Source organism: Homo sapiens, chromosome 11 (assembly GCF_000001405.40).
Source record: "Homo sapiens chromosome 11, GRCh38.p14 Primary Assembly".
In the NCBI taxonomy this organism is placed as follows: domain Eukaryota; kingdom Metazoa; phylum Chordata; class Mammalia; order Primates; family Hominidae; genus Homo; species Homo sapiens.
Genome location: NC_000011.10, coordinates 61,014,057 through 61,041,197, shown reverse-complemented (window position 1 = coordinate 61,041,197; position 27,141 = coordinate 61,014,057). Strand labels below are relative to the sequence as shown.

Here is a 27,141-nt window from a genome sequence, read left to right as displayed (position 1 = left end):
ATAAATCCTCAGTGAAGAGTGCACTGAGGAAGGGGAGAGGCTCCGGTGGGAGGCGGCTCTCGTGGGAGCAGTGGCAGCTTCTGTTTTATCTTGTCTGGATGGGCAGCTCTGTGTCCTCTTGGTCTGGTGGCCTCTGTGATCAGTGTAGCAATCACCATGAGAAAGGATCCTCCAGCCCCATCTGGATTGAAGGTCCCACTGTAATTGATCATCGATCTGCCAGGGAGAGGATATTACCTGATCAAAGATAAACAAAATCAGCCCTTGTTAAAGGTGGTAAACACAGATCTATTCAGCGATAGCTTCTATAGTAGGGAAGAGGCTCTAGTGTAAGCTGAGCTCAACTTTGATTTGTGCAGAGGTAACTGGGTGATTTGTTTTTCCTTTTGGTTTTTGAGACAGGGTCTTGCTCTCTCACCCAGGCTGGAGTGCAGTGGTGCAATCACAGCTCACTGCAGCCTCAACCTCCTAGGGCTAAACAGTCCTCTTGCCTCAGCCTCCCAAGTAGCTGGGACCGTAGGTGCACACCACCACACCTAGCTAATTAAAAAAAAATTGTCGAGATGGAAGTCTCCCTGTGTTGCCAGGTTGGTCTTGAACTCCTGAGCTCAAGGGATCCTCCCACCTTGGCCTCCCAAAGTGCCGGGATTATAGGTGTGAGCCACCGCACCTGTCTTGGGTGCCTCTGACTGGGTTCCCTCGGTGCCCTCTGTTTTTAAGGGAGAATGAGGGAGTAGAGAGGAGTGAACCGGGGCTCAAACAATCAGAGAAGTGAAAAATTAGCGTGATGAGGCCAGCTGTGTAGATTAACTGGCCTTTATCAAAGTTAGGCTCCTGCCCTCCCTCAGAGGCTGGGACAGGCCCTATCCTTGCTGATGATATCATTTCAAAGAAATGGTTCTCAAGTCTTGAGAAAGACACTTCTGGGCTGTAGGAGGCACACATAGGACCCAAATGGAGAGAGAAAGGATGTACAACTGGAAGTTTTTAAATAAATGTCTATCCTCACGTGTTGGCTGGAACAAATGGTGAATTCTTTTGGCAGCCCTGAGCTTTTCCACACAGGAGTGCAAAGCGGCGGTGGGTTGTCCCAGGGGTGTGGCCTGAGGCTGCCAGAAGCTTTGCTAGAGCTTGGTTGAGTGTCGTAGGGCAGGGTTCGGATGGAGTTGTTCTTGCAGAGAGCTTTTGCAATTTCCAACACAGAGTATCTGTCTTTCTTCAGCTCTGTTCTAGGCTGGTGATCTTCAGATAGAAAAGGGTATGGGTAGTCTTAAGGGGAGTGGATTTCCAAGTCAGCTTCCTCCTGGACTTCCTTCCTCCTCACCAATGCGTCCCATCAGTTTGTCTGTCCCAGCTGCCTTTCTTAATTGCTGTTCTGCTTGACTTAAAATGATGCAGACCTAACCCATCCTGGATCCTAGTGGGTAAAAAAACTTCTGGGCACCAATAAAGGGACAGTTTGAGGTGTCGGCGTTGGAACCAAGACAGGTAATAAATCATTTTGCAGGTCAGATGGCTTTTAATATTTATCTTTAACATCATTTTATTATTTTCATTATTTTTATTTATTATTTATTTTGAGACAGAATCTTGGTCTGTTGCCCAGGCTGGAGTGCAGTGACACAATCTCGGCTCACTGCAACCTCCGCCTCCCGGGTTCAAGCGATTCTTCTGCCTCAGCCTCCCAAGTAGCTGGGATTACAGGCACGCATCACCACGCCCAGCTAATTTTTGTATTTTTAGTAGAGACAGTGTTTCACCATGTTGGCCAGGCTGGTCTCGAACTCCTGACCTCAAGTAATCCACCTGCCTCGGCCTTCCAAAGTGCTTGGATTACATACGTGAGCCACCCCACCTGGCCTTCAACATCATTTTAAAAAGTAAAAAATAATTTGACTCTAGATTACATTGTGACATTTTTGGCCTCCAACTTGGACAGAGTTGGGAAAATTCACTCTAACAAATTCCTTCTAGCTCCATGGACTCAGTGGTCATATCTATAAAAATGAAAACAGGATGCTAATTCCTGTCTTGTTCTAGAAACAAATAATATCCATCTCTGGGTATGTTAACTAAGTGAGAGGGAAAAACCTAAACACCCATTCAGATACCTTTCCAATAACATTTAGTTTTCTCTGGCTAATCATCCTTTATATTGATATAATAAATAGCATCAAAATTTGTAGTACCCATATTATTTTGCTTTATGTGTGAATAATAATCATAATGACAACATAATCTAGAGGAAAATGTTGTCAGAGCCTTATGATCACAGGAAATGATAACGTTTTAGCATTTTAATTTATATACATTTTGTTTCAAAGAATCAAAGGGCATCGGGCGCGGTGGCTCATGCCTGTAATCCCAGCACTTTGGAAGGCTGAGGCAGGCGGATCACCTGAGGTCAGGAGTTCGAGACCAGCCTGACCAACATGGTGAAACCCTGTCTCTACTAAAAAATACAAAAAAAGTAGCCAGACGTGGTGGCGCGCACCTGTAATCCCAGCTACTCTGGAGGCTGAGGCAGGAGAATCGCGTGAACCTCGGAGGCAGAGTTTGCAGTGAGCCGAGATTGCGCCATTGCACTCCAGCCTGGTGGACAGAGCAAGACTGTCTCAAAAAAAAAGAATCAAAGGATGATTACTGTAGGACTTCAAAGCGTGAAAACATATTAGGATAAGAATATGTGAGGCCGGGCGTGATGGCTCACACCTATAATCCCAGCACTTTGGGAGGCCGAGGTGGGTGGATCACCTGAGGTCAGGAGCTCGAGACCAGCCTGACCAACATGGAGAAACCCCGTCTCTACTAATAATACAAAATCAGCTGGGCGTGGTGGCGCATGCCTGTAATCTCAGCTACTCGGGAGGCTGAGGCAGGAGAAACCCTTGAACCCGGGAGGCGGAGGTTGTGGTGAACCGAGATTGTGCCATTGCACTCCAGCCTGGGCAACAAGAGAGAAACTCTGTCTCAAAAAAAAAAAAAAAAGAAAGAAAGAAAAAGAAAAAGAAAAAAAAGATTATGTGGAAGGGGTGGAATAAGAATCCAAAGAGAAAAAGGGATGGTGTAATGGCACTAGCTGCTCAAGAAAGGTGTACTCATATATTTTTAAAATGGATGATGGTGGGTATCAACATTGTATTCCACTAGGTTTATTTAAAAGGATGACATAAGTTTTAAAATGTCAGTTTTGAAAGTATGACACTGGATATGATATATGAATCACATCCTGCTTCGTCCAAATTAATGCAAACCATTTTAGAAAACAGCTTTGAAATGTGTGAGAGCCTGCAGTGCAGCTTTCTTGAAACCATTCCACCAGACCAGAGGTAAGCTAACTATGGCCCTCAAGCCAGAGCTGGCCCGATGCCTGGTTTTGTCCTGCCCACGAGGCAAGTGTGGCTTTCACATGTTTAAATGGTTGGAAAAAAGGAAAGAGAATAATATTATGTGACACATACAAATTATATGAAATGCAAATCTTAGCATCCATGGGTAGTTTGATGGGAACCTAGCCGCATTCATTCCTTTTTGTGCTGTCTCTGGCTGCTTTTAAGAGAGTTAATAGCAGAATTGAGCAGTTGCAACAAAGACTGTGTGGCCAGCGAATCCTGACATATTTATTATCTGACCATTTACTGGAAGAGTTTGCCACCCACTGCCCTAGACCACAGACTCAGGAAAGGCTCCTTGTGTCTCCTGCTCTGCTCCTGACTGTGGATAAATTAGAAAAAAAGATGTGCTGTTTGGACTAAGTGATCTCTGAGTTTTCTGAAAATTTAAGTCTGGGAAAGCAATTCATACTTGGGTATTAACGGCTGATACTTCCCAGGAGTGCCTGCCTTTAAAAATGAGCCCTGAGAAGACAACCCCTTTTAACGCAAAGGGGTGAGGTGGTAACAGCAGGATTTCGTGCACCTGCATGGGTTGTCAGTGGTGATTTCGAATGGGCTTTTCACCGCATCGGTTGATGGCAGTGTTTGTGATGAACAGACAAAGGTTTGTACAGACCAATCTGTCCATTTACAGATATGCAGCAACGTCCCTAGAGGCCAATTCTGGCCCATTCCAAGCCCACAAACTTCCCAGACCCCACAGAAGCCTCAGGGAAGGCCAGGCACAGAGGAACTGGAAGCAGCGCTGTGCTCAGCCAGGCTCACCCGGTGCCAAGCTTGGGGCAGGATCGGGCCAGCGCGTTGGCCTTTCACACCCTCCGTCCTCGTCTATGAAAAGCTCATCTCGGCCGGGCGTGGTGGCTCATGCCTGTAATCCCGGTACTTTGGGAGGCTGAAACGGGCGGATCACCTGAGGTAGGGAATACGAGACCAGCCTGACCAATATGGAGAAACCCCATCTCTAGCCGGGCGTGGTGGTGCATGCCTGTAATCCCAGCTACTCGGGAGGCTGAGGCAGGAGAATCGCTTGAACCCGGGAGGTGGAGGTTGCGGTGAGCCGAGATCACGCCACTTGCACTCCAGCCTGGGTGACACAGCGAGACCTTGTGTAGGCCTTGTAGGGTGCAGTGGGCAGTGCCAGGTGAGTTACAGGCCAGCCAGGGACAGGCCACACCTGCAGGCCCTGGCACTCCAGATGCCTGGGAGGACACTATGCAGCACCCCCAACCCACTCCAATGGGCTGTGCAGTGTGGTCTTTGCCAGGGGGAGAGCTGGGCATTCAAGGTCTCCCCCAGCATAGTTGGCCAGGATACCAGCCGGGCTCTGCCTCCTCAAGGGCTAAGTATCCCTGAGCTGGCTTTTGGGGAGGGAGAGGCCATGAGCAGTGGGGCAGGGGTGACAAACCCAGTACCAACAGGATCCCAAACCCATCTGGGAGGGCAGCCTCTCCTGGCTCCAGTCCAGCTGATTATAGCTTACTGTTAAGATTTCAGGTCCAGGGTGACCAGAATTTCCAATTTTTCAAAAGAAATAAAAAATCTGGAGTTCTATATGAAATCTCCTAAGTTTCAAATGTTCGCAATTCATTCCAAAGGAAATTCTAAAACACTGAGCTGGCCTCAAAAAGCACATCCGTAGGTTAAATTGGGTCCCCAGGCTGCCAGTCTGAGACCTAAACTTTGAGCCCAAGAGGCAGGACTCGTGTCTCAGCTCTGGCACTGGCCGTGTGACCTGTGGGCTTATGGCTGAAGCCCTGTGAGCATCAGTTTCCTCCTCTCCAAAGCAGGGGAACGTTCCTGTACTTCGCAGGCATATGCTGGGGCTCACCTCTGCCTCCAGCGAGAGGATCATAGGTGGGTGCGTGGAACAGGCCTCACGACTGTTGCTCTTTCCCTGGCTTGGAAACTTGGCAGTGATTTCTGATGACAAGAGGTCAAGTTGGGGCCTGTTATCTGGTGGACTTGAGGCTCTGCCCACTGAGGCATTTCTCAGTTGTTCTGGAAGGTAGGGCTAGATTATGTGGGTAATGGGCCACTTGGCGACCTAATTTAGCTCTTGTAGACTCTGCCAAAGGGCCACCTTGCAGTCCCACCACCCACCCAAGGAAGCCTCTCAGACTGGAGGCGCACTGTGTCCCATTGATCGAGACCCTGGGGAGGGGGTGGCTGGCGAGATGGCGCCGATAAACTTATCACACGACACTCAAGGCTGCCTTCCGGTTTTCGTGTGGGTGTCTTCCTCTTAGAGAAAAATCGGTTGTCCTTGAATTGATGTATGAGAGGGATCCATTCTCTCCTCCCTCCTCTAGGGGCCAAGGCCAGTGTGAGAACATCCCCAGAGAAAATCCTGCAGCCCCTGGTGCCCAGCCCAGCCTAGGCCCCGGGGACCACAGTGTGTAGTGGCAGAGCCCGGGCCTCCGACTCCTCGGGTCTGGGTGTGAGTTCTGGTTCTGCCGCTAGCCGTTTGTTGCCTAAGCTACAGGGATAGTAACAGTAACGACCACAGACGGTTGCTAGGATTCAGTGCAATGATGTATGGAAAATGCCTGGCACAGTGCAAGTGTGTGGAAGGGGAGGAAGAGGCGCCTTTGGAGTAGGAATGGAATAAATGTTTGCAAATTGAATGAAAACAGAAACGAGAGAAGGAGTAACATTCGTTCTAAACAGATCATACAGAAATGGTTTCTTTCTGCCTTTGGAATAACATATTATGATTCCCACTGCCGTGCCCCAAAGGCTTGCTTTCTAATTATGTCTTGTCTTTTCATCTTACTTAATTAAAAAGCGATGTACCGAGGGAGTTTGGGGTTCAGAGCTGTCACTCACAGCTCAGGCAGGGCTTTACACTGGAGAGTGGGGTCTCCCACCTCCACAGGCAAGGTCTGGGCTCCTACAGCCTAGGACTCACTGACTGGGGAAGGACAACCCAGGGTCATGTCTGGGACCTTCAGAAAACCTGTGTCTGACTCAGGGCGTGATGCCTGGGTGGGGGTGGGGTAGAGGGAGCTGATGCTGGGGGCAGGGGGCCTGAGAGGGGCAAGGCTGAGCTCTTTCAGTGTTTCAGACTGGGGCAGAAATGAGGGATGACAGTGACATTCACTTACAACTTTGTTGTTGTTGTTATTGAGACAGGGTCTGGCTGTGTCACCCGCGCTGGAGTGCAGTGGTATGAACATGGCTCACTGCAGCCTCGACCTCCCAGGCTCAAGTGATCCTCCTAGCTCAGACCCCTAAGCAGCTGGGATTACAGGCATGTGCCACCATGCCAGGCTAGGTTTTACAAATTTGTTGTAGAGATGGAGTCTCTTGCTTTGTTGCCCAGGCTGGTCTCAAACTCCTGGGTTCAAGTGATGCTCCTGCCTTAGCCTCCCGAAGTGCTGGGATTACCAGCATGAGCCATCTTGTCCAGCCCATTTACAACTTTTTAAAAACCTTTTTGGGACACAGATGTGCTGGTTGCAGCATAACCTATTTATAGAAACATACGTCAAAGGAACAGCAAGCCTACTTCTTAAACAAAGAGAGACAATTAACTGGAGACCTTCCTATACTGCGTAAAAGCTGTGGAATCAATTTCTTGAAGGGTGCCTATGCCTGCTGGACCTGACATGAAGCCAATCAGGGCCTCTTCATGCCATCCTTCCCCGCAACAGGGAAAAATCATGCCACAGGGTGGCAAGGCAGACAGTTTCAGGGATTTTCCTGAGAGTTTCCCAGAGCGAGTGGGCCAGATGTTTCTACTTTGCCCTAACAGTATTAGATTAATGAGGTCTAATCCTCTCACTGGAATTGGCCCTTTATGTCTCCATGTTCCATTCATCTTTGTAGAGTAATACTTTACCAGGTGTCAAAATAACTGCACAAGCAAAGGCATCTAGGAGGATGGGTGCAGGCAGTGGTAGCCCCAGCGCTCACTCACCTGCAGACGTGGGTGGTTCAGATTCCACATAGATGGGGACATTTAGGGGAGTTTATGTCTGAGGAACAAAACTGCAAGGGGTCTGAAAGGCACTGATGCAAAAGTGGAGACCTGCTACTCGCCTTCCTCAAGCATTTATTAAGCATGTATTATGTGCCAGGCCCTCTTCTGCGTGCTGGGGATACATCAGTGACCACAGCAAGCACACATCCCTGCTTGCACAGCGCTGGCATTCCAGTCTGCCTCTCCTTCCTTGTAGTTCTCTGTGGGGGATGTACATGACTTGTCATTCCATTGCATTCAGTGTTCAATAAATATTTGTTGGCACTGGGATCCACCAGGCAGCTAGCACCACGTCTTACCCACCTTTGCACCCCTAGAGATGAGCAGAGTGTCTACCCATGTAGATACTCATAAAATATTAAGTCTATTGTTTTAAAGACATTCTGCTGGATGTTAGGTTGCAGGAGTAGGGGCAGAAAGAACAAAACCAAGCCCAGGCCTTGCCTTTGAGCAGCTTATAATCTTGGGGAGAAAGCAGGAAACAAGTAAGATAGAAAAGTGACATATGGAATTAAACAATTAAGGAAATGGTTGGCAAGTAATGGGAGTCAGTTTCTCACTGTTGGAGTGGGAGGTTATGGATCAACAAGAAAAATCTAGAATAATCCATGTGTAATGGTTGAGATTTGGTGGCATTAGTATGAACTCATGTTTACCATTTTTTTTTTTTTTTTTGAGACAGGATCTTGCTCTGTTGCCCAGGCTAGCATGCAGTAGTGTGATCATAGCTCACTGTGACCTCAAACTCTTGGGCTCCAGTGATCCTCCCACTTTGGCTCCCAAGCACCTAGAACTACAGGTGTGTGCCACCATGCCCAGTTAACTTATTTATTATTCTGTAGAGACAGGGGTCTTGCTATGTTGCCCAGGCTGGTCTCAAACTCCTGGGCTCAAGTGATCCTCCTCTCTTGGCGTCTCAAAGTGTTGGGATTGCAGGTATGAGCCACCATGCCTGGCCCATCGTAACCATTTTTAAGTGTACTATTCAGTGGTATTAAATACATACATCATGTTGCATAACCATCACCACCCTCCATCTCCAGAACTCTTCTCATCTGGCAAAACTGAAACTCTGTATTCATTAAACACGAATACCCCAAGCCTTGCTCTCCAGCCCCTGGCAACCACCCTTCTACTTTCTGTCTCTATGAATTTAATTATTCTAAGCACCTCCTATAAGTGGAGCCATATGTTATTTGTCTTTTTGGAACTGGCTTATTTCACCTTGCACGATGTCTTCAAGGTTCATCCACGATGTAGCATGTGTCAGAATTTCCTTTCTTTGTAAAGCCTGGAGCATCTTGTAGTGCCAGAAAATCAAGACATGATCAATGGAACCCACAATGATAGGGGTCTGTGAAACTGTCACAGGAGCCCGTGGAACGAACTCCCAATGGCCACACCTGGAATAGCTTGAGTCACAAAGTAGTACTGGACTCTAATCCAAAGTAAATATCCGTGAGCCCATACTGATATAAATAGAAGATAGAATAAATAAAGAAAAGTAGGCTGGGTGCAGTGGCTCACTCCTGTAATCCCAGCACTTTGGGAGGCCGAGGCAGGTGGATCACTTGAGCCCAGGAGTTCAAGACCAGCCTGGCCAATGTGGTGAAACCCCGTCTGTACTAAAAATACAAAAATTAGCTGGGCATGGTGGTGTGGGCCTGTAGTCCCAGCTACTAGGGAAGCTGAGGCAGGAGAATCGCTTGAACCCAGGAGGAGGAGGTTGCAGTGAGCTGAGATGGCGCCACTGGACTCCAGCCTGGGTGACAGAGTGAGTAAATAAATAAATGAATGAAAGTAGACAAATATGAAGAAAACTTGCAAATAATTTTTGTAGCTGCTTTGCCCTTAAAGAGGTTGGGCATAATTCCTCATTTCTTTCTTTTCTGCTTTCTCCCTCCTCCCCAACCCCCTGTTCCTTAAGTGTGTGAGCTGTGCATAGTGACCTCCTTCCAGAGGGGACAGTGTGGAAAAGAGTATCTGCACAGTGGAGAAAGCTGACCAACACAGCCTCAGCCAGGCCATCAGGGCCGATGTCCACAGTGACAAGTCATGTTGATGGCAGGTCCCTTGAAATGATGTGATGAGAATAACACTTGACTTCTGCAGTCTTTCTCCCTCAAACCTGCCACCCAGATTTAAGCATGAGAAAAACAGACAAATTGCAGTTGAGGATCATTTTACAAAACACCTGAGCAAACACTTCTCAAAACTGTCGTGGTTATCAAAAACAGAGTCTGAGAGACTGTCACAACCAAGAGGAGCTTAGGGAGACAGGATGATTAAATGGGATATGGTATGTTGGGTGGGATCCTGGAAACAAAAAGGATATTAGATAAAAACTAAAGCAATCTGGGCTGGCTGGGCACAGTGGCTCATGCCTGTAATCCCAACACTTTGGGAGGCTGAGGTGGGAGGGCTGCTAGAGCCCAGGAGTTCAAGACCAGCCTGGGCAACATAGGAAGACCCTCATCTCTACAAAACATAAAAAATTAGCTGGGTGTAGTGGTGCGTGCCTGTAGTCCCACTACTTGGGGGGCTGAGGTGGGAGGAGTTCTTGAACCTGGGAAGTAGGGGCTGCAGTGAGCTATGATTGTGCCACGCACTCCAGCCTGGGAATCAGAGCGAGACTTTGTCTCTTAAACAAAACAAAACAAAACAATCAACCAACCAGCCGGGTGCGGTGGCTCATGCCTGTAATCCCAGCACTTTGGGAGGCCAAGGCAGGCAGATCATCTGAGGTTAGGAGTTCGAGACCAGCCTGGCCAACGTGGTGAAACCCCATCTCTACTAAAAATACAAAAATTAGCCGGGTGTGGTGGCGCATGCCTGTAATCCCAGCCACTTGGGAGGCTGAGGCAGGAGAATCACTTGAAGCTGGGAAGCGGAGGTTGCTATGAGCCGAGATCGTGCCACTGCACTCCAGCCTGGGCGACAAGAGTGAAACTCCATCTCAAACAAACAAACAAGCAATCAAAAAACAACAACAACCAACCAACCAAACCAAACCAAACCAAGCCAAACAGAAACCCTGAAGCAATCCAAATAATATGTGGACTTTGGTGAATAATCATGTATCAATATGGGTTCATTAATTGTGATGAATTTACCATGCTAATGTAAGATGTTAACAATAGGAGAAACTGAGTATGGGGTGTACAAAATGACTCGGCAATTTTTCTGTAAGTCTAAAATGATTCTAAAATAAAAAGTTAATTAAGAAAATGAAATATGCCCTGAAGAAAGATGGATAGAAAGGCGCCTTGGCAGTCAGAAGGAAGCAGAATGGGAAGCGGGTAGCAGGAAGAATCAGAACAAACACTAAATGGATTAGGGCATCAGGCTGCCCCGTGAAAGACTGTGGGCCCAGTTCCTGCCACCTTACTTCTCGCACACTGATGATGTTCTTTTGTCTTCGCCAGTTCTGAGCCACTACTGCTGGGTGTCTGCTCCTGGGGTACCTGCTGGCCCTGAATCACCCCTCTGGATTCCTGGGACTCCAGGAACTTTGGGATCCAGAGAAGCGAGCTCTTCCATCCCAGGACCCATGACTGCCCACGCTGTTGAGCTTCTGAGGGCAGGGACCATGTTTTCTCTCTCAGAGCCAGGGCTGCATGTTGGAACTGGCCCTGACAGTGTCAGTTAAACTTTCACGAAACAAATGTTCCTGAACTTGAAGCCATAGGACAGGACTCTGAAGATCACAGAATCACACAGTGAGAAAATGATGCCCTTTTCAGCTCTGCACCAGTCCTTCTCATGACAGAAAGGAGAGTGTCTCGGGTTGGTTCGAGGATGTCTTTAACCCCTCTCATCGTTGCCCGTCTCGACACAGAACCAAGAACAGGCGGGTCCTAGACTCAGACTCTAGTGGACGAATGTGTCCAGCAAAAGTAACAGCATTACTTTATTTTACAATTATCTTCAACGTATACCAAGTGATACTGGTTTTCCATTTATAATGGCAATGTAGCTTCCCTTGAGTTTGTTTTAAATTTTAATTCAATTTCAGACATACGGAAAAGTTGCGAGCATAGTAGAGTTCCTGGATGCCTTTCACCCAGATTCCCTTAGTGTTAATATTTTCTCCCAATCTCTCTCTCTGTGTCTCCCCCTACCTTCCCCACCAAACTACCTACCTACCTACCTACCTACACACACACACACACACACACACACACACACACACACTTTTTTTCTGAATTATTTAAAAGCATGCTGTTCTTTCACTGCCAGTCCTGGTAATGTCCTTTATGGCAAAAGAAAACCCCAGGCCATGCCTTGCGTTCAGTTGGGATCCCTCTTTTTTTTTCCTTTTTTTGCCATAGAGTTTCATTCTTGTCACCCAGGCTGGAGTGCAATGGCGTGGTCTCGGCTCACTGCAACCTCTGCCTCCCGGGTTCAAGCGATTCTCCTGTCTCAGCCTCCCGAAGTGCTGGGATTACAGGCACCCACCACCACGCCCGGCTAATTTTTTGTATTTTTAGTAGAGATGGGGTTTCACCATGTTGGCCAGGCTGGTCTTGAACTCCTGACCTCAGGTGATCCGCCTGCCTCGGCCTCCCAAAGTGCTGGGATTACAGGTGTGAGCCACCGCACCAGGCCTCTTTTACCTCTAAATGTGTCAGTACTCCAGTGTGTATTTCCTAAAAGCAAGACTATTTTATTACATAAGTATAGTACACTTTTCAAAATCAGGGAACTAACACTGATATAACCCTGTAGTCACTAGACCTCCTTCCTGTTTCACTGCCTGTCCTTGTAATGTCCTTTATGGCAAAAGAAAACGTCAGGTCATGCCTTGCCTTCACTCGGGATGCCTCTTTGACTCTTTTCATCTGAAACAGTTTTTGAGTCTTTGTATTCTATGACATTGGCATTTTTGAAAAGTACCTGCCAGATATTTTTTAAGATGTCTAAAAATTCCTTTTTAAATAAATTTAAGTTTTAAATAAGTGAGTCCACTTAAAGAAAAACTATCAAGTGACCCAAAGAACAAATGGTCTACAGATAAAGCAAAAACTGTGAAGATGTACATGGATTACAGTTTTGACAAATGTTGCCTTAAATCAACTTCCTTCTGCCCCTGGGGCTTCATCCCACTGGGATGGTCAGGCCTTGGGTCAGTGAGTTAAGAACAGTCAATAAAGTGGTGACACAAGGCTGTGCCAGCCTGTGTGCAGGGAGCTCACTCTCGGGGGCAGAGTCAGGGTTCTGGGCTCTCTGCCAGATACTAGTGAGGGGCTGGGAGGAAAGTGTGCTTTTGGGTGCGTGCAAGGTGCATACAAATCTCAAACATGTCTCAGTGAAAGAACAGGCAGGCCGGGCACAGTGACTCATGCCTGTAATCCCAGCACTATGGGAGGCTGAGGTGGGAGGATCGCTTGTGCCTAGGCATTTGAGAGTAACATGGTGAGACCTCGTGTCAAAAGAAAGAAAGAGAGAGAGAGGAGAGGAGGGAAGGAAGGAAGGAGAAAGAGAAAAAGAAAGAGAGAGAGAAAGAGAGCGAGATAAAGGAAGAAAAGAAAGAATGGAAAGAAAGAATTAGCTAGGAGTGGTGGCGTGTGCCTGTAGTCCCAGGTACTTGGGAGGCTGGGGTAGGAGGATTGATTGAGCTTGGGAGGTCAAGGCTGCAGTGAGCTATGATCATATCACTGCACTCCAGTCTGGGCAACAGGGCAAGACCCTGGCTCAGAAAAAAAAAAAGAAAAAGAAAGAAAGAACAAGCCATAAAATCAGGAAAGGAGAAGAGAGCTTGACAAAGCAGTAGGAAGACTTGAGTATGGGCAGAAGAGGTGAGTTTCCTGGAACAGGAAGGGAGGGAGGGGATCTTGGGGTTTTTACTGGGCAGAGCTCCAGGGTTAATGCTACTGCCATCACCCATGTACTTCAGAGGGGTCCCCACAGCCAGAGGGGCTTTGATGTTAGCAGGAGGACTTGGCTGCTTCCAGCCCTACACTAGCTATCCCCAGGGTAGGTGGCCTGGGGACGAAAGGCTGCGGTGGGTGGCCTTGCCTGGCCCTGGACCACAGAAGGGCTCTCTTACAGGATGGGTTGTTCTTGCTAGAGGGTGAGCGTGGGCATGAGCTGAGAGGGTCCTGCAGGGACAGACATGCGTCTGGGGCTGTACATCTCTAGCATGTACCGAGTCTCTCCTGCTGCACGCAGGATGCACCCACCTAGTCTTCAGGTTGCCAAGAAGGTGGGAGGACTGCAGGCAAGGGCAGCAAACGCAGAGCAGACTGCAGGAAGTCACGGCACCGGCCACAGAAGGGGGAAAAGAGGGTGACTATCGGAGTGATGCGATGAAGGGTATTGCTGTGTCTTGGCTATGCAGAAAAGTTGAGGGGGGCTACTGACCCCAGTTATTTTAGTATCTCATCCTCAGATAAGAAACAGCCTTCACCTGCCTTGAAACCAGGGCAGAGAGTGAGGCCTGGAGGGAGGGATGGTCACCCCAGAGGGGAGGCCATGGGAAGGAAGCGGAGCCCCATGGACCCAGTGCTGTTGTTTCTAGGGAGAGCCGTGTGTGTGACCTGGAGGCCATGGAGGGGAATGTGTCTGTGAGTGTCTGGACGAGGATCATTTTGTCTCCCCACTGTGTGGAAGAATGAAGAGGAGGCAGTGATTGTGGGCCTGGTCGGGCTAAGCGTAGGGAGGGGAGGCAGGAGACCTCGCAGGTAGAGGGACTCTTTGTGAGCAGGGGGCTTGAAGGAAAATGAATCTCAGCCAGAGCCCATGGCCCTGGGGACCACTCCCTCCCCTCCCCCTCCTTCTGCACTTGGTGGGTGGCTGGGCAAGTGGGACGAGCTGGGGGAAGGGAGCCAGGGAGGGGGCACCTGCCCTCAGCCAGGATAGGGCCCGGGTCCTCTGCGGAGGGGGTGGGGGATCCTTCCCCAGGACAGAACGTGTCATGGTCTCCCGGCCTCCCACCCACCCTCTCCCCCTCCAGCCTATCACCTTTCCATCTTCTCTCCTCCCCGCCCTCCTGCTTGCCCCGTGGTAGCTGCACTGACTGGCTGTGAACCTGGCTCCCCTGGTCCTAGCTGGGTGACCTTGAACTAGTCCCATGACTTCTCTGGGCTTCACTTTTCCCACAGGGAAGGTAACAGACGTTAGGAGACCTTAAGGCTCTGGGAGGTTTTGAGAATTAAGTGAGGCCACAATGTAAGGGGTCCAGCAAGTGCGGGGTTCGGGGCCAGGGAAGACAAAGGCTTTGTCTGGCTGCTCCTGCCTTCCACTGTCTGCTCAGGCACACCGCTCCCTCCCTCTGTCTTCCTCTTTTCCTCTCTGTCTCATGACTCTCTCTCCCCACCCCCCGCCCCCCTCCTTTGTCTCCCTTTGTTGCTATTTCGGTCCTTCCTCAATGATGTTGGTGAGAGGTGAGCCTCTTTTCATGTCAGGATGCCAGAACTCCGTCAAACTGGTAAACAGCTGAAGGATGTGGCGGGAGATGAACTTTCCACTGAAGCTTCTTTCAACCCATCCCTTCCCTGGGGCTCCCCTGCACCTCCCCACTCTGGAGACTCCATCCCATCCTCACGAAGCGAGGACGGGGGGCCGGGGACGGCGGCCAAGAGAGGTCCACGCCAGGTGGCCACACGGGCTCCAGCCGCTCTGTCCGTTCACCAGAACCATGAAGAGGGTCTTTGAGAGGGGCGGAAGTGGAAACCGCAGATGGGGCGATAGGGAGGGGTGGGGGATGGACAGGTGTACGTCGGAGGTGAGGTTTCCAGGGGACAAGGTTAGGGACCCGCAGGTGATGCCCTGCCAAGGAAGGAAAGCCAGTACCTGTGCTCCCTGGGAGCAGCCTCGGAGCCTGAGAGCCACATCCATGTGGGCCCTGGTGGGATAATCCTGCCAGAGCGTGCTCCTGACCTGGTCCCCTTGGGCTCTCTCAGATGTCTGGAGGATGCCAATTAATTGTGGGGCCTGAAGAGCTGTGTGTGGCTCCAGCTGGGCATTGGGAGGCACAGAAGTGAGCCTTTGGTGTGGATTGTACCTTCACATGGAAAGGAGGAGGGCAGGGGCAGTGGCAGCCAGGGCCCAGCCACACCATGTTCAGCTGATAGCCCTGGGAAAAACTGAACATTCTTGAGCCTGTTCCCTCAGTCATAAGATGGGGATGATGCTGGTTCTTCATGGGGCTGTTGAGAGCATACATGAGTCAGTACCTGCAGTGTGCTCAGAACAGTGCCCGACACACAGGTTCTGAGTGTGCCCTCAGGAATCGAAGCTATCATTAATGTCACCGTCATATTGTCATCATGGCTGGAGGCTGCTGTGTTGGAAAATCATCTCCCATGTCTGTGATCACTCTCCAAGTCCTGAATCCGTCTCCAACTCGTTCCCTCTTCTCCATCTCCCAGTGCTGACCACCCCCCAGCTGGCCTCCCTTCCTCCAGGCCCCAGCCCCATCAAACCTCCCTCCGCTTCATAGCGGCAACCTTTCTAGAGCATCCGTCTCATCGGATCACTTCCCTGCCTTAGAAACTGCTCGCAACTCCCAGCAGGTCTAAGACAATGACAAGGGTCAAGTTACACAAGACCCTTGGAGATGCTCCCCATGGTCTTTCCCACCTGCGCACCCCCTTTTCCCCTGGCCTTCAGGCGGCATGCACCATACTTGCACGTGTTGCTACTGAGAACATCCTTCACTCATCCATCCAGCAAACTCCTACACAACCTTCAATGGCCGACTTGATTGTTCCCTCTTTTGTCATGCTTTTCCCACTAAACCCTGGCAGTTAGTGGCTTCTTCCTCTCTGTCCACACAGCCTCTGTAGTGGTGTGGTGGAGCCCTACATGAGGCAAAAGTTATCTGCTTGGACAGCATGTGGGAGAAACTCAAATATGGGTAGCATCACTCTTCCCTTAGGAACGTTATCTGGGATACCAGAGAAGTAAAAAGAAGCAAGGAGCCCAAGAGGGTGCCCGGACGTCATTTCTGTATAAGAAGGGGTAGGCAGCAAGAGGGGTTCACATCTGCTTCTTTCTACATCAGAGACACAATTGTGTTTACCTTGGGTGGGCCGGGTGGGGAGGAAGGGGCAGGGTGGAGGGGGCAAGATTTTAATGGTATGAATTCATGTTGTTGGAGTTTTAATACGGTTAAGGTATTTCCCATTTTAAAAAAAGAAAGGGCTGGGCCCAGTGGCTCATGCCTATAATCCCAGCACTTTCGGAGGCTGAGGCAGGACGATCACTTGAGGTCAGGAGTTCAAGACTAGCCTGGCCAACATGACGAAACCCCATCTCCACTAAAAATACAAAAATTAGCTGGGCGTGGTGATGTGTGCCTGTAATCCCAGCTACTCGGGAGGCAGAGGCAGGAGAATTGCTTGAACCTGGGAGGCGGAGGTTGCAGTGAGATGAGACTCTGCCACTGCACTCCAGCCTGGGTGACAGAGAAAGACTCCATCCCAAAAAAAAAAAGAAAAGAAAAAAAAAAAGAAAAGAGAGAGAAAGAGAAGGAAGGGAGGAAGGAAGGAAAGAAGAAGGAAGGAAGGGATGGAGGGAGGGAGGGTAGGGAAGGAGGGAGGGAGGGAGGGAGGGAAGGAGGGAGAAAGGGAGGGAGGAGGGCAGACAGGGAGGGAGGGAGTGAGGGAAAGGAAAGAACACTCCCTTAGGAAGACGCCTGCATGTGAGTCTGCCCTGCTCTGGCTCCAAACCAGGTGTTTTCCCTGCAGCATTAGAGCAGCTCGTTGAAATGGTGGGCTTTGTTTCAGGCCCACCGTGTATGAAAAATGAATCCCCAACAGCTAAAATCTCACCCAGCATGGCAAGGTACCCACAGGATGAACGGCTTCCAGGATCTGAGGGAACGGAGGCTCCACAGCTCCTGTCTGTCTCCTCCTGGGTGTTTGTTCAACCAAGGGAAATATTGGGCTGGGTTGCCCCTTGTCTTTCTGTTTGCTGCTGAGCACACACTTAAGTTCATGTGGGTTAAACATGCTTATCATGAGCCCTCGCTGTGCGGCGTGGTGTTTTCACACTGGGGCTTTGCAGTGAGGTGGAAAAGTTGTGCTACCTGCCAAGCTGTGTGGCTTCTGGCTAGTCATCTAATCTCTCGGGGTTTCAGTTGCCCTATTTACGAATTAGGGAGAATAATACCTTCTCAGAGTGCCCTTATGAGGATTGTATGAAACAACACATACCTGGCACATAGTAAATGCTACCCACCGTCATCATCACCATGTTGATGAACGGCAGTTACTGGTCTCTCTCTGCCCCAGGTCCTGTAAACTCCCCAGCGGCAAGGGCCAGGCTCCATTCCTTTCTGTGCCTCCCAGAGCTCAGCACAGAGCTGGCTCTATAAGGGTGCCTGGTAGTGATGATTCTACATTCCCGAACCCCGTATCCCAGAATGCAGCCGGTGCCTGTGCTGTTGGTGGGCAGATAGGCCGGTGTCTCCAGATTCTAGGCTGGGGCTCTGGTAATAATGCCCAGCCGTGTGGCTGTGGTGGCACAGGGACACTGGAAGAGCCATGATTAACACTCAGACTCTGAAGCTAGGCTGTATTTAAGTCCCAGCACTGTCATTATTTAGCTGTGTGACCTTGGCTTTTTACTTAACCTCTCTGGGCCTCAATTTTCTCACCCATGAAATGGGGTTGGTGTGAGACTTGACCATCCCCAGCCTCATCTCCTCTCAAACTGGACCTCCCTTGACCTCGCGAGCCGTGCAGTTTCTTGCTGTGTCTTCGCTCGTGTCATTCCCTTGGCCTGGAATGCTTTTCCCTCTCCACGTCGGTGGTTCACTCCTATTCATCCTCTACAACCCAGATCAGGCATCAGCTTCCCAGGAATTCCCTGTGCATCACTCTCTGCCTGAGCTTGCAGAGCTGTCAGTCAAATTGCTGGGTGCTTCCGTTCTGGGACACAGCCTTTCCCCCCACGCCAATGTTTCTGGAACCACTGGGTTCCGCTGCCAAGTCCATTGAGCCTCTTTGTGTTTCCTGTCCCAGATCCTTGAGGCGTATTATAATGAGGTCTCCCAGGAGTGGAGGGGAAGCCACCTGCTTATGTTTGTGACTTCCCTGCCAGGCTGGTGCTCCTTCAGGTCAGAGCCTGGCTGTCATTCATCTCAGCTTTCCCAGTCTCAGCACAGGCCTGGCCCATGTCGGCTCAATAAGGTGCAGGTCCCAGGTCTGAGTCCCTGGGAGACATAGAGACAGGGGCCAGCTGGGATCAGCCCTCCTACTGTGTGTGGTGCTGTTTCTTCAGACTGCCCAGGGCTAGGGCAGAGCTTCCCAATTTCTCAGAGACTGTGGGGGGCCCTGGGTGGGAGAGCTGGGGTGAGAGAGGCAGCTCCGGGGAGGTTGGGGAAATGGGGGTGACTCAGAAGGCATTGCCATCTCCCTGTGTGAGCTGGGGCGGGCACGAGGTGGGGAAGGATTGAATTGTGACTCTGTTACTAACTCTCAGTGACCTTGGACAGGTCCTTTCCCACCCTAGGTCTCAGTGTCCTCACCTGTAAAATGAGAGTGGGACAAGACATTCTCCATGTTCCCCCAACCCTTGCCCCGCCCTGCCCCCAGCACTAACGCACTGAAGACCCCAGGCACTGCTGAGTGCCTCCTGGCTTCCCCTTTCTCCTTTTAAGGAGCGCTCTCACCTGCAGTGATTAATCTACCAATGACGGGGTCATTTACTACCAACCCTCTAACCCTCACCACCACCTGTGAGTTACCCACTACTGCCCACACATTCTACAGACCAACTTACAGCAAACAAAGTCTCAGAGATGTTGAGTGATTTGCCTGAGGCCACACTGCCAGGAGGGGTGGAGTGGGGAGTTGAACACAGGCTTTCACAAGCCCCCTGCCGCTGAGTCTGCCCCACCTACCCCAGAAGTGGCTCCTCCCCTAGGAATCCCCCGCCACCCTGGGGAGGGTTCAGAGGGCCCGAGGAGGGGGCCCAACACTGCCAACCACATCCTGTGACGGTTGCCCTGGGGAGCGCGGCTTTCTCTCCACCTCTGGGACAGGTGAATGGAAAGCAGGCCCCGCCCACCACACAGCCCCACCTCCTTCATGATCCGCCCCTCCCGAGACGGCTCGGAGAAAACCTGAGCCCCAACCCTCACCCCGCAGGCAGAGCTGGGCACTGGCCATGGCAGCAGGGATAAAGTCATAGCCCTGAATGGGCAGAGGACTGGAGGCAATGCCGATTTCTCAGTGCGGATCCGCTCCAGTCCCCTCCAGCGCCACCAGCCTCATCCCCACTTCCTTCTGGGGTGGTGCAATCCTTTTCCAGGCAACTCTAAGCATAAAACTCCCTGGAATTATACTACCTTTGAAGATTTGGGGGCTCAGGCGGGAACTCATTCAGTGCAGTAACCCCTGCCGCTGAGCCCAGGGCTGCTGTGGAGCAGCCCAGGGAGGCAGTGAGGTTGAGTTCTCATAGACCCTGCCTCTCAGTCTGTCAGGTTCTGTTTTCCTATCCCCAGTGTTAAAAAAATGTTTTTGAGATAGAGTCTCACTCTCACCCAGGCTGGAGTGCAGTGATGTGATCATTCATGGCTCACTGCAGCCTCAAATTCCTGGGCTCAAGCGACCTCCCTGCTTCAGCCTCCCAAGTAGCTGGGACTACAGGTGTGCACCACCATACCTGGATGATTTTCAATTTTTTTTTTCGGTAGAGACAGGGTCTCACTATGTTGTCCAGGCTGGTCTTGAACTTCTGGGCTAAAGTGATCCTCCTGCCTTGGCCTCCCAAAATGCTGAGATTACAGGCGTGAGCCACGGTGCCCGGCCTCCCCAGTGTTTTTTATGGTGCTGAGCCACCGTGGGTTTTCCAGTTCCCTAGCATTTCCTCCTAAACAGATAGAGTTGCCCCCACCATTGCCACAACCTGACTTCTCCCTGACACGCACACACACACATGCACACACACACACACACACTCTGAACATGGAGCAGTTGCTGTTGGTGCTTTTCCTGGACCATTCCCATGGAAGATGGTTCCTTATAGCATGTGCCTCTGACCCTCTGCCTGTGGCTTCTCCCGACACAGCGTGTGCCCAGCTCACTCACAGGCCGCTCGGTAGTGCTGGGGCTGGGGGTTAATGTCTCCTCAACCAATGACAGGCAGAGAGGGTGGGTCAATATCCCAGCTCCCTGCCCCCTTGGTGGGACAATTCTGAGGTGTGTCTCCCAGAGGTCCCCAGCACCATTGAGCTCTGGCTGCCCATAATAGCAACCTGTTCATGAACATTGTCTTCCTTCCTTCCCCCTCTTTCTTCCTCATTTTCTTACTGCTGCTCCCTGGGATTACTTCCCAAATAAAAGATTTGAGCTCAACTCTTTGTCTCATTTGTATCCAACATATGCCACACACACACACACACACACATGCACATACATGCCACACACACGTGCACACACACATGCAGCCTGGGTTCTATGAGGTTTAAGAAATTGTCATTCCACGCCCTGGTTTCATTCAGCAATTCAGTTTAATCTCAGGATACTCAGAGCAGGACAACAAAGCCTGGTCTGAGCCCATGGGCCTCTCTCTGGGGGCTGCACGGAGACGTTTGCAGCCCCGGGTGCAACACCACATAGTCACGCATCCCTCCCAGGAGCATCCTCATCAATTCAAGGAGACACATGGGGACTCGGGGCCTAGTGCAGCTTCTGAGCCCCTTCCTGGAAAACATCTCTATGCTCCTTGCCCCCATGGAGACTGGGCCCCTATCTCTGGGATCTGTGGTGGGGCTGGGCTGGGGCCCTCTTTGTAAACCATAGGAAACTCAGAATAAAGACCCATTGTCCAGGGACAGTCACTGCAGAACTGGTCTGTGCCCCTGGCGGACTTGGAGTGTCTCTGGGGCAGGACTGGCCTTGGGCCCCAGCTCCTTGGTTGGGGGTACACAGTCAACCTGTCATTGTCAGCTAGTTGTGCCCAGGAAGGCTATATTCCCTGCCCAAGTGCAGTTACCGCCCGGAGCAAAGCCTGGGACAGCTGGTGTGCTACCCTACCCCCCCAGCGCCCACCGATCAGTGACAACAGCTCAGCAGACCCTAGTATATGGGCCCTCCTGCAGCAGCACTGGCATGGGGGTCCAGTTCTGCCCCTCGCAGGACCTCTGGGCCCTGAAGTGTCAGAAACTCAGGCAATCAAAGCGCCGGACACTTGAGGTTTGGAAGGGGCCTCCAGAGTCATCCAGTCCAGCTCCCCAACTCCCCTCCACCAGCTGTCAAGAGGTAGCCCAGACTCTGCTTGTTCATCCCCGAGACAGAGGGCTCACACCTCTTGGAGGCAGCATCCTCCCTGGGGCTGCTATCTGGGGCCGGGGGAGGGCTGTGGCAGCAGGTTTGGCTTGATGGATGGAGACCGAGGGGTACAAGGTATAACGTTTCCTTCCATCTCTCCAAGGGAGGCCTCTCAGCTCCATGGGGAGGTGAGCTGGGAGGGTGGGAAAGGGGAAAGGGAGTAGGTAGAGCAGGAGGCCAGAGGGTCAGAGCCACCCCAGGAGCCTCGGCTGGCCCCGGCCTAGGCTGCGCTGATGTCATCGTAGTCATCGTTGTCGGTGGAGTCAGGCTGAGGGCTGGGGGACCCTGTGGGCAGAGAGGCCCAGATTAGTGGGAGACCCAGTCATTGCCCTGCTGCCCCACAGGACGGAGCTGAGTGGTTCTGGCTCCACATCACTATCCCCGTGGGATGCTGCATGAAGCCATCTGATCATCTTGCTTCCGGCCATGTCCCTGACTAGAACATCAGCACTGAGGGAATAGCCTCGTCTGTCTGGTTCAGGGCTATGGTCTCCACAATGGCACACTGCACGACACGGTGGACGATTGAATGTTGGAAGCCCCTCTGCTACCACAGTCTCCCCCAAGGAGCCAACCAGCTGCTTCTGCTTGAATGCCTCCACTGACAGGGAGCTCACTTCTTATCAAAGCAACCTGTTTGACTATTTCTCCATCCCGTCCACATCCATTTTCCCCACCTCTTCATATTCTTGTTGTGCTTGTGTTTGTTTTCTTGTAGAAAGAGGGTCTTGCTCTGACCCTGCAGGGGCATGATACACAGTGATACGATCATAGCTCACTGCAGCCTGGATCTCCTGGGCTCACACGATCCTCCCACCTCAGCCTCCTGAGGAGCTGGGACTATAGGCACGTGCTACCCTTGGCTAATATTTAGTTTTTAGTTTTGTAGAGACTGGTCTTGCTATGTTCCCGGGGCTAGTCGTAAATTCCTGGCCTCAAGCAATCCTCCTGCCTTGTGCTGGGATTACAGGCTTGAGCTACCATGCCTGGCCTTGCTTTGTTTTTTAAAAAGTTACTTTCCCTCTCTTCTTTTACCCTTCCTTTCTCCTTTTCCCCTTGAGCGAATGCATCCAATAGTTCCCCACTCATTTACTCCCCAGTCCCTCTCTGTCCCCCTCCCACATCCCTTCCCCAGATATTGGCACCTGGACAGCCAAACTGCTCCTCCGAAGGGGGCTGGGGTGGTGGCTGGAAGTTCTGGTACCACTCCCCGGATGAGGTGCTGGAGCTGTCATCAGCCGGGGGCCCTGCTGGAAACCCCCAGAACCAGTCACCCTCTGCCAGCACACAGCCACTTCTCAAGTTGCCAGAGCTGGGGGGCCCACGTGACTCACGAGAGCCAAGTCCCTAGCTTGGCAAATGACAAAGTGAAGGCCCAGAGATGGGAGATGTGTCCAAGGGCACACAGCGAATGGCTGCGGAACTGGGTAGAATCCTGACCTCAGCCTGACTCAGGGCTCCCAGCTTTATGCCTCCTCCAGCCAGGCTGGCTATGGGATGGGGGTTTGGGGGAGGCACAGCTTACCTGAAAAGGCTGGCTGGGTGCCGGCCAGCTCCAAGTTTGGGGGCTGCTCCAGGAAGGAACTCCTCTCTGAAGAAAACACCTGGGGGTTCCATGGAGGCAGCTTGCTTTTGGGACTATTGCAGTAATCCTCCCCTGAAGAGGTGCTCGACTCACTGTTGCTCCTCGGGTGATACTGAGGGCCCAGGGATGGCGGGTCTGTAATGCAGTGTCCAGGGTTGGCAGTTGGGATGTGGGAGGCATGCAACTCTTCAAGTCCTAAGGCAGGAAAGGGAGAATGGTGACGAAAGAAGCAGTGCAGCAAGAGGGCTTTAAGTCAGACTTCAGAAAGCACTTACTGCCTATAGGATTTGTGAAAGTCAGGAAAGACTCATTGAGGGAGGTTCCTGCTGGAAGGTCTCAAGCTGAGCTGAGCTACTCTCTGGAGGTGGGACTGCCATTCACACCCCTTCCCATCCTGACTCACCTTCCTCCAAGGGTGGCATCTGGAACCTGCTTTGCTGGACCTCCTCATCTGTGACCCGATGCCGCTGGGAATCTGCAAGCAGAGGCGGTGGTGGGGAGGGGTGAAGGCTCAACCTCATCATTTAGGAGCCTGGAGAAGAGGCTGGATTTCCCGGGGCCTGGGTAGGCTGAATAGGGTGGGAGGACAACTCCGGAGGCAGAGAGGGCTTAGCATTTCCCATCAAATTCCAGGTTCATATCCCAATCCAGCAGAGCCTTCGCCTTAATCTAGCCTGGGGACAGAAACTCTAGTGCCCTACAACCCCCCAGCCCCCAGCCCCAGCTGTCCCTCCTGCTACTTAGAGAGGTATCAAGAGTCTTGGTTCTGTCCTTGTGACCTGGCAGCTCTGGGCAGGAGAAGGACAGATGTTTGCTCCTTCAAGAAGCCTTCCTAGAGTGAAACCCAGATGGTCTGGAATCACTGCATCACAGGCTCTGTGGCACCTTCACGTTTCAGAATCAGAGATTTATAGAGTCTTGAGGATATGAGTGTCTGGGATCTTGGAGTCAGCTCTTTTGAACCGGGTACCACTGACTTTTAATTTCAATGTTATAGCACTGTGGACTCTCAGTCTTGCATCTTATATGCCTGGGCTCGGAATCTCAGGTTCGACAGACACTTCATCCCTGTGGCGCCCAAACACTGGTCCACAGGCCAGAAGAAGTGGAATCATCCGTGTCCCACCCCCAGAAGCCCTGGGTTAGCAGGCGGGGCAGGGACGGCTGTCTGTTCCCCAATATCCATTCTGGCTTTTATCTGGACACAGCTGCCCAGGACAGAGCCTTCGTTTCCCTGCCTCTCTTGCAGCTAGTGGGTTTTCGTTCTGGGTGCTGGGTTGTGAGCGGGAATCTGTGGCCATCTCCAGCATCCCATCGTTCCCTTGCCCTTGCCTGGAATGTGGACATGGAGGTGAGCCATTCTGGACCATGTAGATGAAGGCAACATCTTAGGGACTGCACAGCAGCAAGAAAGAAGGGGCCTGGGCCCCTGCCAACCTCTCAAGACACTGTCATTTGGAGCTTTCTGTCACACACAGCCAAATTCTCATCCTGACTGATAACATTAGGTGTGGGGAGGGGCTCAGGAATTTTTGACAAGCTCCCAAGTGATTCCACAATAAGGTGTGGGACGCTCTGGTCTATTCCAACCTCCCAGCATTGCCAGGGAACTGCCTTCAGCGTTATCTTTCCTCTTCCTATCCCCAGAAGGCAATGAAAAGAGCTGGCTATGAGGCACAAGCTGGCAAGAGCGTGGAGGTGAGGAAGTGAGTGGGGCTGATGGGGTCAGACAGGGCAGGATGGGACACGGAGGGATATGGCATGCGAGAACCCCTGCCAACTGTGTCTCTCATCCGCACTCCCCCGCTCTCACACAGAGAGCCATCTTCAGGTGAATGTCAAAGGCCTGGTCTTAAGACCTTACGTGGCCAGAGACAAACATGGGAGAGACAGAGGTCAGAGTGGAGATGTCCTGAGACATCGAGATGACCCCAGGGTCACAAAGCACGGTGCAAACGTCAGTGTAGGACCATTTACAGTCAATCCAGTGGGTAACCAGGGGGATTCTGTCTGCATCATGCAGGGGTTACTAGGTGGGACTACTGACCTGACGGTCCCCTCGGGGCCCCCTCCCAGATTCAGGTAGGTGGGCCCTCGGGAGCCCGGCCAGGCACTCACTGTAGAAGGTGGTCAGGGCCACAGGAGGCTGGGCGCTGAAGTCATAGTGCTCATAGTCTGAGTCCGAGCCAGAGTCTGAGTCCTCAGGGGGCGGGGCCTGGACCTGGATGGGCAGCATGAAAACTGGGGAGAGAACAGAGTCGAGGGCATGGCAAAGTGGTGGGCGGAAAGGTGTAGGGAGGGATGGTAGAGTATGAACGGCAGAGGTGAGAGGCAGAGTAGCAGGGGAGCACCAAGTAGCCCCCTTTTTTTTTCTTTCTTTTCTGGGACAGGGTCTCACTCTGTTGTCCAGGCTGGAGTACAGTGGTGCCATCACAGCTCACTGCAGCATTGACCTCCTGGGCTCAGGCGATCCTCCCACCTCAGCCTCCCGAGTAGCTGGGACCACAGGCATGCACCATCACGCCCAGCTAATTTTTGAATTTTTTGTAGAGACAGGTTTTCACCATGTTGCCCAGGCTGTTCTCAAACTCCTGGGCTCAAGCGATCCATCCCCCTCGGCCTCCCAAAATGCGGGGACTACAGGCATCCACCAGTGTGCCCAACCTGGGTAGCCCATCTTGTACAAGCCACCCAGTCTGAAGTTTCTAGGCTGCCTTCGTTCATTTCCAATATGGAGAACTAAACATTTATTTAGCAAACGCTTAACACAGCACTTACTATATGTGAGGCACTATTCTAACACTTACAAGTATTACCTCATTTAACCCTCATGATAACTCTGTGAAGTGGGTACATTATTATCCCCATTTTGCCTTGGAGGGAACTGAGGCACAGACAGGTTCTTACCTGGCCCAGAGCCGGCAGTCTGGCTCTAAACCTCTAGACTGTGCTATTCAGTGAGCAGCTGCCTTATGCTAAGCCTTATGCTAGATGCTGTATTCACATTCTCTTTTCATATATATGGACTCTCTGTGCAAAGGATATTTATAATATTTGGCTGAGTTTTGTATTGGTTTTTATGTCATTGAACTCTTTCCGATAAAGGTGATTGAATACATTCATAATGCAAGGTGATTAAGCTCAAATTCCTCTGCAAGAGGTATAAATCCATATATCATAAAGGATGAATGACTGAACCTTTTCTTTTTTTTTTTTTTTGAGACAGAGTCTTGCTCTGTCGCCCAGGCTGGAGTGCAGTGGCGTGATCTCGGCTCACTGCAACCTCCGCCTCCCAGGTTCAAGCGATTCTCCTGCCTCAGCTTCCCAAGTAGCTGGGATTACAGGTGCACGCCACCACACCTGTCTAATTTTTGCATTTTTTGTAGAGACAGGGTTTCACCATGTTGGCCAGGCTGGTCTCCAACTCCTGACCTCAAGTGATCTGCCCACCTCAGGTTCCCAAAGTGCTGGGATTACAGGCGTGAGCCACTGTACCCAGCCCCAATTTGTTTTTTTGTTTAGAAAATATGAACTATGAAATAAAACCACATTCTAGGAGAATCTTGATGGGGCTTCGCAAGGCCAATTGGGCAGGACATTGATAGGGATGATGATATCACAAGCCTACTAGCCAACTAGCAGAGCAAAGCAGAACAGAGCTTTCCTCTGAGAACCAAGATCTAAAACGTGCTTTGCCTGTATTTGTCCAGAACTCAAAACTCTATAGAGTCCTAGCATGACTGAACTGGAAGGTCATCTGCCCTTCAATGTCCAGGGACGACTTGAGCCTGCTCAAGGTCCCAGGGCCGGGAGTGGGCTGGCCCAGATCTCATCTCCAGCTGTGTGTACGTCTTGGACCTAAGTGGTGCTGACCTTCCAGAAAGCTCACCCTTCTTG

The 27,141-nt window shown here is 51.2% G+C and overlaps 1 protein-coding gene and 1 long non-coding RNA gene across 19 annotated transcripts in view, besides 3 other annotated features; one reads left to right on the top strand and one right to left on the bottom strand.

Annotated features, from left to right (window-relative positions):
- The window catches only part of LOC105369325 (uncharacterized), a 63,496-nt gene extending 51,161 nt beyond the window's left edge, over nucleotides 1-12,335 (top strand). For both annotated transcript variants that reach the window (NR_188502.1, NR_188503.1), the window contains exon 2: nucleotides 10,803-12,335. This is a non-coding gene — a long non-coding RNA (uncharacterized LOC105369325). The remainder of the gene's footprint in view (nucleotides 1-10,802) is intronic.
- Nucleotides 12,462-12,521: a silencer, noted in NCBI's record as "silent region_3384". NCBI's record gives its function as "represses an Ori minimal core promoter by ATAC-STARR-seq in GM12878 lymphoblastoid cells {active_cell/tissue: GM12878}" and the evidence as "EXISTENCE:reporter gene assay evidence [ECO:0000049][PMID:35858748]".
- Nucleotides 14,450-15,015: an enhancer, noted in NCBI's record as "H3K4me1 hESC enhancer chr11:60793655-60794220 (GRCh37/hg19 assembly coordinates)". NCBI's record gives its function as "activates a minimal SCP1, AML or CMV promoter by ChIP-STARR-seq in naive H9 embryonic stem cells {active_cell/tissue: H9 hESC(naive)}" and the evidence as "EXISTENCE:reporter gene assay evidence [ECO:0000049][PMID:30033119]".
- Nucleotides 19,514-19,563: an enhancer, noted in NCBI's record as "active region_4789". NCBI's record gives its function as "activates an Ori minimal core promoter by ATAC-STARR-seq in GM12878 lymphoblastoid cells {active_cell/tissue: GM12878}" and the evidence as "EXISTENCE:reporter gene assay evidence [ECO:0000049][PMID:35858748]".
- Nucleotides 20,821-27,141, bottom strand: part of CD6 (CD6 molecule) — a 48,698-nt gene continuing 42,377 nt past the window's right edge. For 5 of the 17 annotated variants that reach the window (XM_047427881.1, NM_006725.5, XM_006718738.3 and 2 more), the window contains 5 exons: nucleotides 25,363-25,485; nucleotides 23,648-23,719; nucleotides 23,185-23,439; nucleotides 22,805-22,909; nucleotides 20,821-21,944 (listed from right to left, as the gene is read on the bottom strand). In XM_047427881.1, coding sequence (XP_047283837.1) covers nucleotides 21,880-21,944; nucleotides 22,805-22,909; nucleotides 23,185-23,439; nucleotides 23,648-23,719; nucleotides 25,363-25,485 — 620 coding nt within the window. In that variant the 3' untranslated portion in view covers nucleotides 20,821-21,879. The remainder of the gene's footprint in view (nucleotides 21,945-22,804; nucleotides 22,910-23,184; nucleotides 23,440-23,647; nucleotides 23,720-25,362; nucleotides 25,486-27,141) is intronic. The other 12 variants (XM_011545360.3, XM_047427874.1, XM_047427876.1 and 9 more) reach the window with 6 other exon arrangements.